Raw genomic sequence first — 13420 nt, 5'->3', positions numbered from 1 at the left:
AAAATTAGCCGGACATGGTGGGGGGGCGCCTGTAGTCCCAGCTACTTGGGAGGCTGAGGCAGGAGAATGGCACGAACCCAGGAGGCAGAACTTGCAGTGAGCCGAAATCACACCACTGCACTCTGCACTCCAGCCTAGGCGACAGAGTAAGACTCTGTCTAAAAAAAAAAAAAAAAAAAAAAAAAAAAAGACTATACTACCTAATCTTCCATGCCTCGCTCTTTCCACGTTAATAGACAAAACCAGGAAAAAGGACTGCTCCCCCTCCTGCTCTTGACTGGGCTCCATAAGAACTGCCAAAAGGCCAGGCAGTATTTGCTACTCTTCTGGGGTTCACTTCTGAAAGGTGCGACCCTGCAACCTAGAGCACAGGGAAGTTAGGACAGCAGAGGAGCCGGGCCGAGCCGACGCTGGCTTAGAACTCTTTCTGATACTCCCTGTTCCCGCCAGCTCGTTAGCCCAGCCTGCCAATCAGTTTTGCATCAATAAACTTTATGTTCTGAGGTTGGCCAGATGAATGAGAGGAGAGCAGCTAAAGACTGATCTCTGACCTTGGCACATAAACAGCCTCCAGATTGGACTTGACAGTTAATAAAGGAAAGGCCCTGCAATTCTCTGATGCCTTTTTGCCTTAATTAGATTGAGCATTCAAAGGCTATGGGGAAATCTTCCATTTGAAGAGAAAAACCTCACAAGACAGGAAGTCACTTCACTCATTCATTCTTTCAGACTGTCAATCATTCGGTCTACAGTCACTGGCATTTGTCAAATGCCCTATTACCTGTGCTCAGCACTATGCTAACTGCTTTTGAGTCGAGTGGCTGCAAGAATTCCAGAAGTCCATGCCGTGCTCTTCTGGAAGACTGCACAGCCAGGCAGTCAAGAGCACAAGCTTCAGTTTAACATATCTGAGCTCAAATCCTGATTCTGCCATGTGACTTTTGGCAAGTTACTTAAACTCTCTGCCTTTAGTTTCCTCTTGGAGTAAATAATACCAACCTCCACAGGCTGTCATCAAGGCCAAATGAGACCATCTGTGTAAAGTGGGCAGCACAGAGCCTGGTGCTTGGCAGATGCCTGGTGGCCATGAACATGACAGTGCCTGCACCTGGCTGAACTGTCAGGCCGAGAAGCTTCCCTTCCTTCCCTCTCTCCCCTCCCCCATTCCTGGCATGCTGCCAGTCACTGGGGAGCTGGTGATGACTCACAATCCCTGCCCTCAGTGATATTATAAATCTATTGTTGGCCGAGCACTGTGGCACAACGCTTGTAATCCCAGCACTTTGGGAGGCTGAGGCAGAAGGATCACTTGAGGCCAGAAGTTTGAGACCAGCCTGGGCAACATACCAAGATCCCGTCTCTACCGAAAATTTAAAAATTAGCCAGGCATGGTGGTGTGCACCTGTAGTCCTAGCTACTTGGGAGTTGGGAGGCTAAGGCAGAAGGATCGTTTGAGCCTCGCAGTTCAGGGTTACGGCCTGGGTGAAAGAGGGAGACCCTGTCCCTTTAAAAATAAAAATAAAAAAAAACTATTGGCCAGGCACTATTGGCTCATGCCTGTAATACCAGGACTTTGGGAGGCTGAGGCAGGTGGATCACTTGAGGCCTGGAGTTCAAGACCAGCCTGGCCAACAGGGTGAAACCCTGTCTCTACTAATAATACAAAAAATTAGCCAGGCGTGGTGGCACATGCCTATAATCCCAGCTACTCAGGAGGCTGAGGCAGGAGAATTGCTTGAACCTGGGAGGCAGAAGTTGCAGTGAGCCGAGATCACACTGCTGTACTCCAGCATGGACAACAGTGGGAGACTCCCTCTCAAACGTGCACACACACACACACACACACACACACACACACACACACACCAAAAAACAGGACGGCCGGGCACAGTGGCTCATGCCTGTAATCCCAGCACTTTGGGAGGCCAAGGTGGGCAGATCATGAGGTCAGGAGTTTGAGACCAGCCTGGCCAATATGGTGAAACCCCGACTCTATTAAAAATACAAAAATTAGCCAGGCATCATGGCACGTGCCAATAGTCCCAGCTACTTGGGAGGCTGAGGCAGAAAAATCGCTTGAACCTGGGAGGTGGGAGGTTGCAGTGAGCGGAGATCGTGCCACTGCACTCCAGCCTGGGCAACAGAGTGAGACTCAGTCTCAAAAAAAAAAAAAAAAAAAATTCCCTGAACCCTTTCATGCTATATTTGCTCGCACATACAGGTTTCTTCAGTGTTAACCGTGTTCATCACATTGATGTGCTGTTTCACTTCATGCTGTGTGATGTGAACTTCGGCCAGAGCAAGGAGAAAGCAGTATATACTCTGAAAAGGACCCCGCACCGTGTTCACCCAAACAGCACCTCGTCATGCATCTCAGAGCCCTCGGCCTCTGGGCCACCTCCTCACTCCCCCAGGGGTGCTCTGAAGCCTTAAACAGTCTGCTTTTCTTTTTCTTTTCTTTCTTTCTTTCTTTTTTTTTTTTTAACAGAGTCTCGCTCTTGTTGCCCAGGCTGGAGTGCAGTGGTGTGATCTTGGCTCACCACAACCTCTGCCTCCCGGGTTCAAGCGATTCTCCTGCCTCAGCCTCCCGAGTAGCTGGGATTACAAGCATGCGCCAGGGATTACACGCCTGGCTAATTTTGTAGTTTTAGTAGAGATGGGGTTTCTCCATGTTGGTCAGGCTGGTCTCCAACTCCCGACCTCAGGTGATCCACCTGCCTCAGCCTCCCAAAGTGCTGGGATTACAGGTGTGAGCCACCACACCCGCCTCTCTTTTTTTTTCTTTTTTCTTTCTCTTTTTTTTTTTTTTTTTTTGAGAAGGATTCTCGCTCTGTCACCCAGACTGGAGTGCAGTGGCGAGATCTGGGCTCACTGCAACCTCCACCTCCCGGGTTCAGGCGATTCTCCTGCCTCAGCCCTCTGAGTAGCTGAGACTACAGGTGCCCACCACCACGCCCACCTAATTTTTTGTATTTTTAGTAAAGACGGAGTTTCACCGTGTTAGCCGGATGGTCTCACTCTCCTAACCTCATGATGTGCCTGCCTCGGCCTCCCAAAGTGCTGGGATTATAGGCGTGAGCCACCATGCCTGGCCAGCAGTCTGCCTTTCACGTGCCTCTTTGTATTTATTGGTTTTTTTGTTTTTTTTTTTGGAGACAGAGTCTCAGTCTGTCGCTCAGGATGCTGGAGTGCAGTGGCACAATCTTGGCTCACTGCAGTCTCTGCCTCCCAGGTTCAAGCAATTCTCCTGCCTTGGCCTCCTGAGTAGCTGGGACTACAGGCACACGCCACCACACCCGGCTAATTTTTGTATTTTTATTAGATACAGGGTTTCGCCATATTGGTCATGCTGGTCTCGAACTCCTGACCTCAGGTGATCTGCCCACCTCAACCTCCCCAAGTGCTGGGATTACAGGCATGAGCCACCATGCCTGGCCTTCTTGTATTTATTGGTTTTAATCCTCAATTAGAAACGTCTTAGGCAATTGTCTAGTTTTTACTAGCTATCTTTAATTCTTTTTTTTTTTTTAAGTGAAATGAAGTTTATTAAGTAAGTAAAGGAATAAAAGAATGGCTACTCTGCCAGGTGCAGTGGCTCACGCCGGTAATCCCAGCACTTTGGGAGGCCAAGGCGGGTGGATCACTAGGTTAGGAGTTCAAGACAAGCCTGGCCAAGATGGTGAAACCTCGTCTCTGCTAAAAATACAAAAATTAGCCAGACGTGGTAGTGGCGCATGCCTGTAATCCCAGCTACATGGGAGGCTGAGGCAGAGAATCGCTTGAACCTGGGAGGCGGAGGTTGCAGTAAGCCGAGATCGCGCTATTGCACTCCAGCCTGGGTGACAAGAGCAAAACTCCGTCTCAAAAAAAAAAAAAAAAAAAGGAATGGTTACTCCATAGGCAGAGCAGCCACTATCCTTAATTCTTAAATAACCCAGGCTCGTGCTATTCAGTATATGCTTCCCATCACTTCCTAAAGGGACCATGAGCGTACTGGAGTTCAGAGTCCTTTGAGATCTCCTAGTTCAATCTCCTCATGTTACAGATGGAGAAACTGAGTCTTGGAGGTGTGGGGACTTAATCTTTCCTCTTGTCTCCCTCCCTAAACCAATAAACAATCTTCACCCAGATCGTCAACACAAACCCACAAATCCCACCAGTTTTTCCCTGCGGGAACCTCCCCATTGCTCTCCTGGCCCTTCTTAGCAGAGAGCCCCATATCCTACGTAGAGTACAGAGGGGAAGTCATCAGACAGGAAAGCCCCCCACCAAGTTGCCCATCTGACGTGTGGCTGCCCCACACTGGGCAAAGGCCACCCTCCAGGCCCTCACTCTGGGCCATCCACCTGCTCCTCCAGGATTCTGCCCTGCACCTCTCACCCCTGGCTGACATAATCACCTTCTCCTCCTCCCTTCCATGAGCATTGCTTTCAACACACATTTATGCTCCCATTCTTCAAAAAATTTCTCAATTGTATGAAACTTTCTCTTGACCCTGCTAGTCACCCTTCCTTTTTGTAATTAAAATTTAAAAAAAATTTTTTTTGAGGCGGAGTCTCACTGTCGCCCAGGCTGGAGTGCAGTGGCCCGATCTTGGTTCACTACACGCTCTGCCTCCCGGGTTCACACCATTCTCCTGCCTCAGCCTCCCGAGTAGCTGGGACTACAGGCGCCCACCACCATGCCCAGCTAATTTTTTGTATTTTTAGTAGAGACGGGGTTTCACTGTGTTAGGATGGTCTCAATCTCCTGACCTCATGATCTGCCTGCCTCGGCCTCTCAAACTGCTGGGATTACAGGCGTGAGCCACCGCGCCTGGCCTCTTTTTTTTTTTTTTTTTTTTTTTTTGAGACAGATTCTCGCTCTGTTGCCGAGGCTGGAGTGCAATGGTGTGATCCTGGCTCGCCGCAACCTCCACCTCCTGGGTTCAAGCTATTCTCCTGCCTCAGCCTCCTGAGTAGCTGGGATTACAGGCACCTGCCACCACGCCCGGCTAATTTTTGTATTTTTATTAGAGACAGGGTTTCACCATGCTGGCCAGGCTGGTCTTGAACTCCCGACCTCAGGTGATCCGCCCACCTCGGCCTCCCAAAGTGCTGGGATTACAGGCGTGAGCCACCGTGCCCGGCAAGCCCGGCTAATTTTTGTATTTTTAGTAGAGATGGGGTTTCACCATGTTGGCCAGGCTGGTCTTGAACTCTTGACCTCAAGTGATCTGCCGGCCTCGACCTTCCAAAGTGCTGGGATGACAGGCGTAAGCCACCGCACCCAACTTAGTTTTTTTTTGGAGACAGGTTCTCAGTCTGTCATCTAGTCTGGAGTGCAATGGCAAGATCTAGCTCACTGCAACCTCCGCCTCCTGTGTTCAAGCTACTCTCCTGCCTCAGCCTCCGGAGTAGCTGGGATTACAGGCAGGCGCCCGCCACCACGCCCAGCTAATTTATTTATTTATTTATTTAAATTTTTTGAGACGGAGTTTTGCTCTTGTTGCCCAGGCTGGAGTGCAATGGCGCAATCTCAGCTCACTGCAACCTCCGCCTCCTGGGTTTCAAGTGATTCTCCTGGCTCAGCCTCCCACGTAGCTGGGATTACAGGCATGCACCACCACACCCGGCTAATTTTTTGTATTTTTAGTAGAGACGGGGTTTCACCATGTCAGCCAGGCTGGTCTTGAACTCCTGACCTCAGGTGATCCACCCGCCTCGGCCTCCCAAAGTGCTGGGATTACAGGAGTGAGCCACTGCACCCGGCTGCACCCAACTTTGTAAGGAAATAATTAAGCTGAAAGAGGAGTTGAAAAAATATTAAAATATTCTTCACCTAGATTTTTCCAATTAGCATTTTGCCATCTGTGCTTTCTCTGTGTATGGGGTATGTGTTTAATTTTTTGTTATTGTTGGAGCACTGGAAAGTTTCAAGTATCTACTCTTTCTGCCCTAAATACTACAATGTGTGTCTCCTACAGTTTCTCTCTTACCACACACCATTATCACACACAACAAATTCAGAGCTGCTATATATTATCTAATACAGGCCAGGCGTGGTGGCTCACGCCTGTAATCCCAGCACTTTAGGAGGCTGAGGCTGGAGAATCACTTCCTGAGCCCAGGAAGTTGAGGCTGCAGTGAGCTCCCTGCACTCCATCCTGCATGCCAGAGTGAGACCTTGTCTCAACAAAAAAAGGTATTATCTAATATGGAGTCCATTTTCCAATTTCCCCATTTGCCCCCAAAATGTCCTATATAGCTATTTTTTTAAGTATAAATATTTTTTATTTCAGAGATAGGGTCTTGCTCTGTCACCCAGGCTGGAATGCAGTGGTGCAATTGTAGCTCACCCACAGCCTCAACGTCCTGGGCTCAAGCCATCCTCCTGCCTCGGCCTCCGAGTAGCTGGGACTATACCCGGCTCATAGCTGTTTTTTAATCCAGAGCCCAGGCAGGGATGAGATGAGGCCAGGCACTGGTGATCATGCTGTTTTACTCTTCCTTCCCATCCCAATTTGGCTTCCAGATTCCTCCCTCCACCCAGAGGGCTCTGGTCAAAGTCAGGAGCCACTTGCATTACCAGATCTAAAGGATCCTTCTCGCTGGGCGCGGTGGCTCACGCCTGTAATGCCAGCATTTTGGGAGGGCGGAACACCTGAGGTCAGGAGTTAGAGACCAGCCTGGCCAACATGGCGAAACCCCATCTCCACTAAAAATGCAAAAATTAACTGGGCATGGTGGGCGCCTGTAATCCCAGCTATTCAGGAGGCTGAGGTAGGAGAATCACTTGAATCTGGGAGGTGGAGGTTGCAGTGGGCTGAGATGGCACCATTGCACTCCAGCCTGGCCAACAAGAGTGAAACTCCATCTCAAAAAAGAAAAAAAAAAGAAAGAAAGAATCCTTCTCTATCTTGTCTTCATTCTCTGTCTTCAGCAGGGACTCAACAAGGGCAGTTTCCTCTGAGTTTCTGGTTCACAGCACATTCCCATTTCCTCCCTAACTCAGAGATTTGTGGCTTCAAACACCAGTTGTGCACTGATGCCACCCACACTTCCAGCATCCAGGGGCGTCCAGCCCTGACCTGTGTCCCCCACTCCAGACTGACATGTTCCACTGCCTTCTCCACACTTCCATGTGTGTGTGCCATGGGTACCTCAATGGGTCTGAACAGAAGTCTTCATGTCTTCCCTTCTTCCCCAGCTCAGGAGCAGAACAGCACGACCATCACCACCATTTATCCTTGATAACAGCCTTTCCTTTCCCCCTCCAGCCCCTCCACCCACAGGTCCTCTTGGACCCACCTGTCTCCATCCTCACCTACATCGCTGAAGCCTGGCCCCCCATTCAGAGTCCAGAAGTATCCAGGGCCCTCCATGTGGCTCTCAGCTCTTGCCCCACCTCCACAGTACACTTTCCACAGTGCTAATCTCTTTAAAATGTAAATCAGATCTGGTCACTCCCTCCCTTAAAACCCTTTCATAGCTGCTCATTGGAGTGAAAAAAAAATCTCAGCTCCTTCTGGCTTATAAGGCCCAGGTGGTCCAACCCTGCCTCTATCTCATCTCCAGCCTCCTCCACCATTCTTGCCGGGGACCCTCCGGGGCCTGCCTTTAGCTGCTTGAATGCAGATATTTTCCTGTCTGGGGGCTTTTATACTTCCTTTCACCCTGGCCTGCCATGCTGTCACCCTGGAATATCCCCTGGCTGCCTCCCCTCCACCTTCCTGGCCTCCCAGAGCTCCCCAGCGCTTACTATCCAGATCCTGCTGCCTGGAGCGGGCTGTCCTCTCCATCTGGGGTCCGGGGCAGGGGCTCTGACTGGCTCAGCTCAGGACACATGCATGGCCTTCTCCATTCACCTGGACAAGGGCGGGGGTAAGGGATCATCATTTGGTCTAGATTCATTCTCATAATATTCATTATTATTATATGCATATTTTCTTCTGATTTTAAAATTAATTAAAACAATTTCCAGGGCCCCTAACAGTGTCATAGGCCTGATGGAGCAGCGGAACCTGCCTGAGGGTAAAGCTGAAGTTCCTCAGAAACCAGACGGCCTTACAGCCTCTTCACTGCTCTTTGAGATGGAAGAGAAGAAATGCAGATGAGTGCTTTCTGCTACAAATCTCATCTCTCCAAGCTGAAGTTGCCAAGGAACATGCCATCACTGTAACTGCTAAAAACACAACGTATAATGAAATGCATCTTCTACAAATGAATCTGTGAATACAGAATAGCCTACAGAGGTTGACAGTTTGATTCTGTTCTCTGCAAGGCATTAGAATTTCACTATGGGGGCCACTAGGACTGCTCTATTAATTAATTATGTGTATTCTATTGTTTTTTGTTGGTTTTTTTTTTCAGATGGAGTCTCACTTTGTCGCCCAGGCTGGAGTGCAGTGGCTCTATCTCAGCTCACTGCAACCTCCCAGGTTCAGGCAATTCTCCAGCTTCAGCATCCCGAATAGCTGAGACTGTAGGCGCTCACCACCACACCCAGCTAATTTTTGTGTTTTTTTTTTTTGTTTTTGAGAGATGGAGTCTTGCTCTGTCGCCCTGGCTGGAGTGCAGTGGCGCATGATCTCAGTTCACTGCGACCTCTACCCCCCGGGTTCAAGCAATTCTCCTGCCTCAGCTTCCCAAGTAGCTGGGACCGCAGGCGTGCACCACCACACCCAGATAATTTTTGTAATTTTTTTTTTTTTGAGATGGAGTCTCACTCTCTCGCCCAGGCTGGAGAGCAGTGGCATGATCTCGGCTCACTGCAAGCTCCGCCACCCGGGTTCACGCCATTCTCCTGCCTCAGCCTCCCAAGTAGCTGGGACTACAGATGCACACCACCATGCCTGGCTAATTTTTTGTATTTTTAGTAGAGACGGGGTTTCATCGTGTTAGCCAGGATGGTCCCAATCTCCTGACCTCGTGATCCACCCGCCTCAGCCTCCCAAAGTGCTGGGATTACAGGCGTGAGCCACCGCTCCCGGCCAATTTTTGTAATTTTTTAGTAGAGACAGGGTTTCACTGTATGTTGGCCAGGATGGTCTCCAACTCCTGACCTCAGATGATCTGCTCGCCTCGGCCTCCCAAAGTGCTGGGATTACAGGTGTGAGCCACTGCGCCTGGCCTGTTCTATCGTTTGTTTTGTTTGTTTTTAAGAGGGAGTCTTGCTGTGTTGCCAGGCTGGAGTGCAGTGGTGCAATCTTGGCTCACTGCAACCTCTGCCTCCTGGGTTCAAGCGATTCTCCTGCCTCAGCCTCCTGAGTAGCCAGGATTACAGACGTGTACCACCACGCCCAGTTAATTTTTTGTATTTTTGGTAGAGATAGGATTTCACCATGTTGGCCAGGCTGGTCTTGAACTCTTGACCTCAAGTGATCTACCCACTTCAGCCTCCCAAAGTGCTGGGATTACAGGCGTGAGCCACTGTGCCTGGCCCTATTCTATTGTTTATACTCAATTTTCAGTCGAAGAAAACAGCATGAGAGAACTTTAACTTGGCCAAGATGGCAGAGAGAACAAATGGTGACCCCAGGGTTTCAACCCCAGCCCCTGCTCTTAGGGGTTGCTTTGGAGAGATTGGGTTTGAGGTGCCTGGGGCCCTGCTAGGGGAGAGATATGTCTAGGAGTTATTTAGATAAACTAGTTCAAGGCTCAAGAGAGATCCTTAGCTCGTGACATAGATTTGGGAATTATTCTTGTATTGGTAGCACTTAGAGATTCAAAGTGGATCAGCTCATTCACCCTTGTCATCTTGTGGGGCCTAGAATTGTTTCCACACGTCTAAACCATCCTGATGCAGCCTCCTCCCCATGACAGGCTTGCTCCCTGGCTGGCTCTTTTGTCCTGCTCTTTCCCAGGAATGCGTGGCTTAGAAGGAACACTTAGGGAGCCCCTCCTTTCTGCAGGTTTTGAGGTCCATCGCCAGCCCTGCTGTTTCCTGCTGGATCGAGTGGCAAAACTTGTCTTTCCTCCCTTTGGTGCCTGACACTCTCAGGGACATGGCTTGTAGGTGACATTCTAAGCACTTGCCCACCCAATAAATATTTACTGAGCACCTTCATGTGCCAGGCAAATCTAGGTACTGAGGATACAACTGTGAGCAAAATCAACCAGGTCCCCGGACCCAAGGGGCAAGCCCATAGTCTAGAGGCAGGAGGCAGAAGTGAGCAGGAACAAGGATGCTGCTAAGGAGTCATAAGAAATGCAAAGCCAGGCACAGTGGCTCACGCCTGTAATCCCCGCACTTCCGGAGGCTGAGGCGGGTGGATTACCTGAGGTCAGGCGTTCAAGACCAGCCTGACCAACATGGTGAAACCCCATCTCTACTAAAAATACAAAAATTAATCGGGCGTGGTGACAGGTGCCTGTGATCCTGGCTACTTGGGAGGCTGAGGCAGGAGAATCTTGAACCTGGGAGGCGGTTGCAGTGAGTCAAGATTGTGCCATTGCACTCCAGCCTGGGCAACAAAAGTGAAACTCCGTCTTAAGGAAGAAAGGAAGGAAGGAAGGAAGAGAAGGAAGGAGGGAGGGGAGGAAGGAAGGGAAAAGAGGAAGGAAGGAAAAGAAAGAGAGAGGAGAAAGAAAGAAAGAAAGAGAGAGGGAGAGAGACAATCAAGAAAGAAAGACAAACCCTGGGACGCTGTGGGACCGAGGGGTCGTGGGAGGTCAGGGAACGACTGTTAGACGGGCAAGGCCTGAGGGTATAGGATTGGCATGTCTAGAAGGCCTGCTTGAAGGTGCCCAGGGGTCGAGGAGAGTGGAGAGGGGCTTAGAAAGGGAGGAGGATCAGAAGGGAGGGGAATGTCCTCCCGGCATACTACAAATGCAAACATTAGCCAAACGTGGTGGCGGGTGCCTGTAATCCCAGCTACTCGGGAGGCTTAGGTAGGAGAATCGCTTGAACCCAGGAAGAGGAGGTTGCAGTGAACCAAGATTGTGCAGTGATCTTCGTCTAAAAAAAAAAAAAGTCAAGAGAGCTGGGCACAGTGGCTTACGGCTCACACCTATAATCCCAGCACTTTGGGAGGCAGAGGTGGGAGGATCACTAGAGCCCAGGACTTTGAGACCAGCCTAAGCAACATGGTGAGACCGCACGCAGTCTCTTGTCTCTTAAAAAACTTAGACAGGCATGGTGGCACACACTTGTAATTCCAGTTACTTGGGAGGCTCAGGCGGGGAGGACTGCTTGAGCCCAGAAGTTCAAAATTAAAATTGCAGTGACCTATGACTGTGCCACTGCACCTCCAGTCTGGGTAACAGAGCCAGACTCTGTCAAAAGAAAGAAAGAAAAGAAAGACAAGAAAAAAAAGAAAAGAAAGAAGGAAGGAAAAAAAAAAGGCAAGAGCAGACAGCTCTTTGTGAAGGAGAGGAAAAAGGAGGAAGAAGGAGCAAGAAAGAGGCAGCAGCAGGACTGGCTGGGTTCTTCGTGAGACCCAATGTAAAATGAAAATGCTGGGCCCCTCGTTAAAAATAATTATTATTAATTCTGGGCTGGGTGTAGTGGCTCACACCTATAATCCCAGCACTTTGGGTGGCCGAGGTGGGTGGAATCACTTGAGGTCAGGAGTTCAAGACCAGCCTGGCCAACATGGTGAAACCCCATCTCTACTAAAAATACAAAAATTAGGCTGGGTGTGGTGGCTCACGCCTGTAATCCCAGCACTTTGGGAGGCCAAGTCGGGTGGATCATGAGGTCAGGAGTTCGAGACCAGCCTGACCAACATGGTGAAACCCCATCTCTACTAAAAATACAAAAATTAGCCAGGCATGGTGGCGGGCACCTGTAATCCCAGCTATTCTGGAGGCTGAGGCAGGAGAACCACTTGAACCCAGGAGGCAGAGGTTGCAGTGAGCCAAGATTCTGCCACTGCACTCCAGCCTGGGTGACAAAACAAGACCCTGTCTCAAAACAAAACAAAACAAAACAAAAAAACCCAAAAATACAAAAATTAGCCAGGCGTAGTGGCGGGCACCTGTAGTCTCAGCTACTCGGGAGGCTGAGGCAGGAGAATTGCTTGAACCCAGGAGGCAGAGGTTGCAGTGAGCCCAGATCGCACCACTGCGCTCCAGTCTGGGTGACAGAGCGACACTCTGTCTCAAAAAAAAAAAGAAAAGAAAAGAAAAAAATGAATTCTTGCCGGGCTAATCCCAGCTACTCGGGAGACTGAGGCAGGAGAATCGCTTGAACCCAGGAGGCAGAGGTTGCAGTGAGCCGAGATCATGCTACTGCACTCCAGCCTGGGCAACAGAGTGAGACTGGAGACTCTGTCTCAAAAACAAACCAACCAACCAACCGGAAAAAAAAAAAAAAAGGAAAAGAAAGAAGCAAGGAGAAGGAATCTCAAGACAGCAATTGCAGGGCATGAAATCAAGCGTGGGCCCTTCTGCAACTGAGCAGGCCACAGCCTGTGAAGCCTCCACGGAACCCCTTGAACATGAGGGATTAGAATCCCAGCACCCCCTGCCCAGGCGCGGTGGCTCACGCCTGTAATCCCAGCACTTTGGGAGGCCAAGGTGGGCGGATCACGAGGTCAGGAGATCGAGACCATCCTGGCTAACACGGTGAAACCCCTTCTCTACTAAAAATTCAAAAAATTAGCCGGGCGTGGTAGCTGTAGTTCCAGCTACTGGTTGGGGGTTGGGAGGCTGAGGCAGCAGAATGGCGTGAACCCGGGAGGCGGAGGTTGCAGTAAACCGAGATCGCGCCATTGCACTCCAGTCTGGGCGACAGAGCAAGACTCCATCTCAAAAAAAAAAAAAAAAAAAAAAATCCCAGCTCCCCCTTCACCCCAGGAGGACCTGGCCCATAGGGTAAAGATGGGGGATTTCAGTTTTCTATTTTGATGAAAATGTTGCAATTTGGACAGTGTTGCAACACAAACACAAATTATGTAGCCAGTTGCATGGACTGTTGATAGTTGTTTTACTAAAACTTCTGATAGCTGCAGGGTTTTCTTCTCCTGGGGAGGTTTGGGGTGAGGGTGCCTTCTCCTCCAGCCCGCAGCAGGGTTAACATCTGAGCAGGTGTAACATTTTCCTGGACTGGCATCACTGGTTGGAGCCAAAAATGTCTAAACCCGTATATTATGTCAGATATCATTTAAATCAAACTACCTCTCCCTAATCTAAGGCTAATTACCTCACGATTAACACTGGTCATCTGACCTTGGTAAACCATTTACCCTCCCTGAACTTCGGATTTCCTCATCTGTAAAATGGAGATAATTACGCTTATATTCACATAGGCAATGTGAGGATTAAATATATGAAAAGCTATTTAAAGAGTCTTAAGGTCTGGACAAACGCCAGCTCGTGTTAGTGCCAACCTGCTCAGCAGTTGCTTCGTTGGTGCGATGGGGCATCTCGGAACGGGACGGCTTGACAGAAACCTCTCTTGGTGCCATGCAATCTCTGGGCTCAGCTGTATTCTGAAC

At 49.6% G+C, this 13420-nt stretch overlaps 1 protein-coding gene and 1 long non-coding RNA gene across 2 annotated transcripts in view, besides 2 other annotated features; both read right to left on the bottom strand.

Moving 5' to 3' along the window:
- TLK2 (tousled like kinase 2) overlaps positions 1-1164 on the bottom strand; it is a 144568-nt gene extending 143404 nt beyond the window's left edge. Inside the window, exon 1 of the mRNA XM_024450552.2 lies at positions 1000-1164. Coding sequence (XP_024306320.1) covers positions 1000-1015 — 16 coding nt within the window. The 5' untranslated portion in view covers positions 1016-1164. The remainder of the gene's footprint in view (positions 1-999) is intronic.
- Positions 7211-7710: an enhancer, noted in NCBI's record as "H3K4me1 hESC enhancer chr17:60541729-60542228 (GRCh37/hg19 assembly coordinates)". NCBI's record gives its function as "activates a minimal SCP1, AML or CMV promoter by ChIP-STARR-seq in naive H9 embryonic stem cells {active_cell/tissue: H9 hESC(naive)}" and the evidence as "EXISTENCE:reporter gene assay evidence [ECO:0000049][PMID:30033119]".
- Positions 7711-8212: an enhancer, noted in NCBI's record as "H3K4me1 hESC enhancer chr17:60541227-60541728 (GRCh37/hg19 assembly coordinates)". NCBI's record gives its function as "activates a minimal SCP1, AML or CMV promoter by ChIP-STARR-seq in naive H9 embryonic stem cells {active_cell/tissue: H9 hESC(naive)}" and the evidence as "EXISTENCE:reporter gene assay evidence [ECO:0000049][PMID:30033119]".
- Positions 7740-13420, bottom strand: LOC112268200 (uncharacterized). Its single transcript, XR_002958142.2, has 2 exons — positions 13313-13420; positions 7740-7846 (listed from the first exon to the last, which is right to left on the bottom strand). It is a non-coding gene; the product is annotated as an uncharacterized LOC112268200 (long non-coding RNA).

The sequence above is a fragment of the Homo sapiens genome, chromosome 17 (assembly GCF_000001405.40).
Source record: "Homo sapiens chromosome 17, GRCh38.p14 Primary Assembly".
NCBI lineage: Eukaryota > Metazoa > Chordata > Mammalia > Primates > Hominidae > Homo > Homo sapiens.
This window is presented reverse-complemented; position numbering and strand designations above follow the sequence as displayed.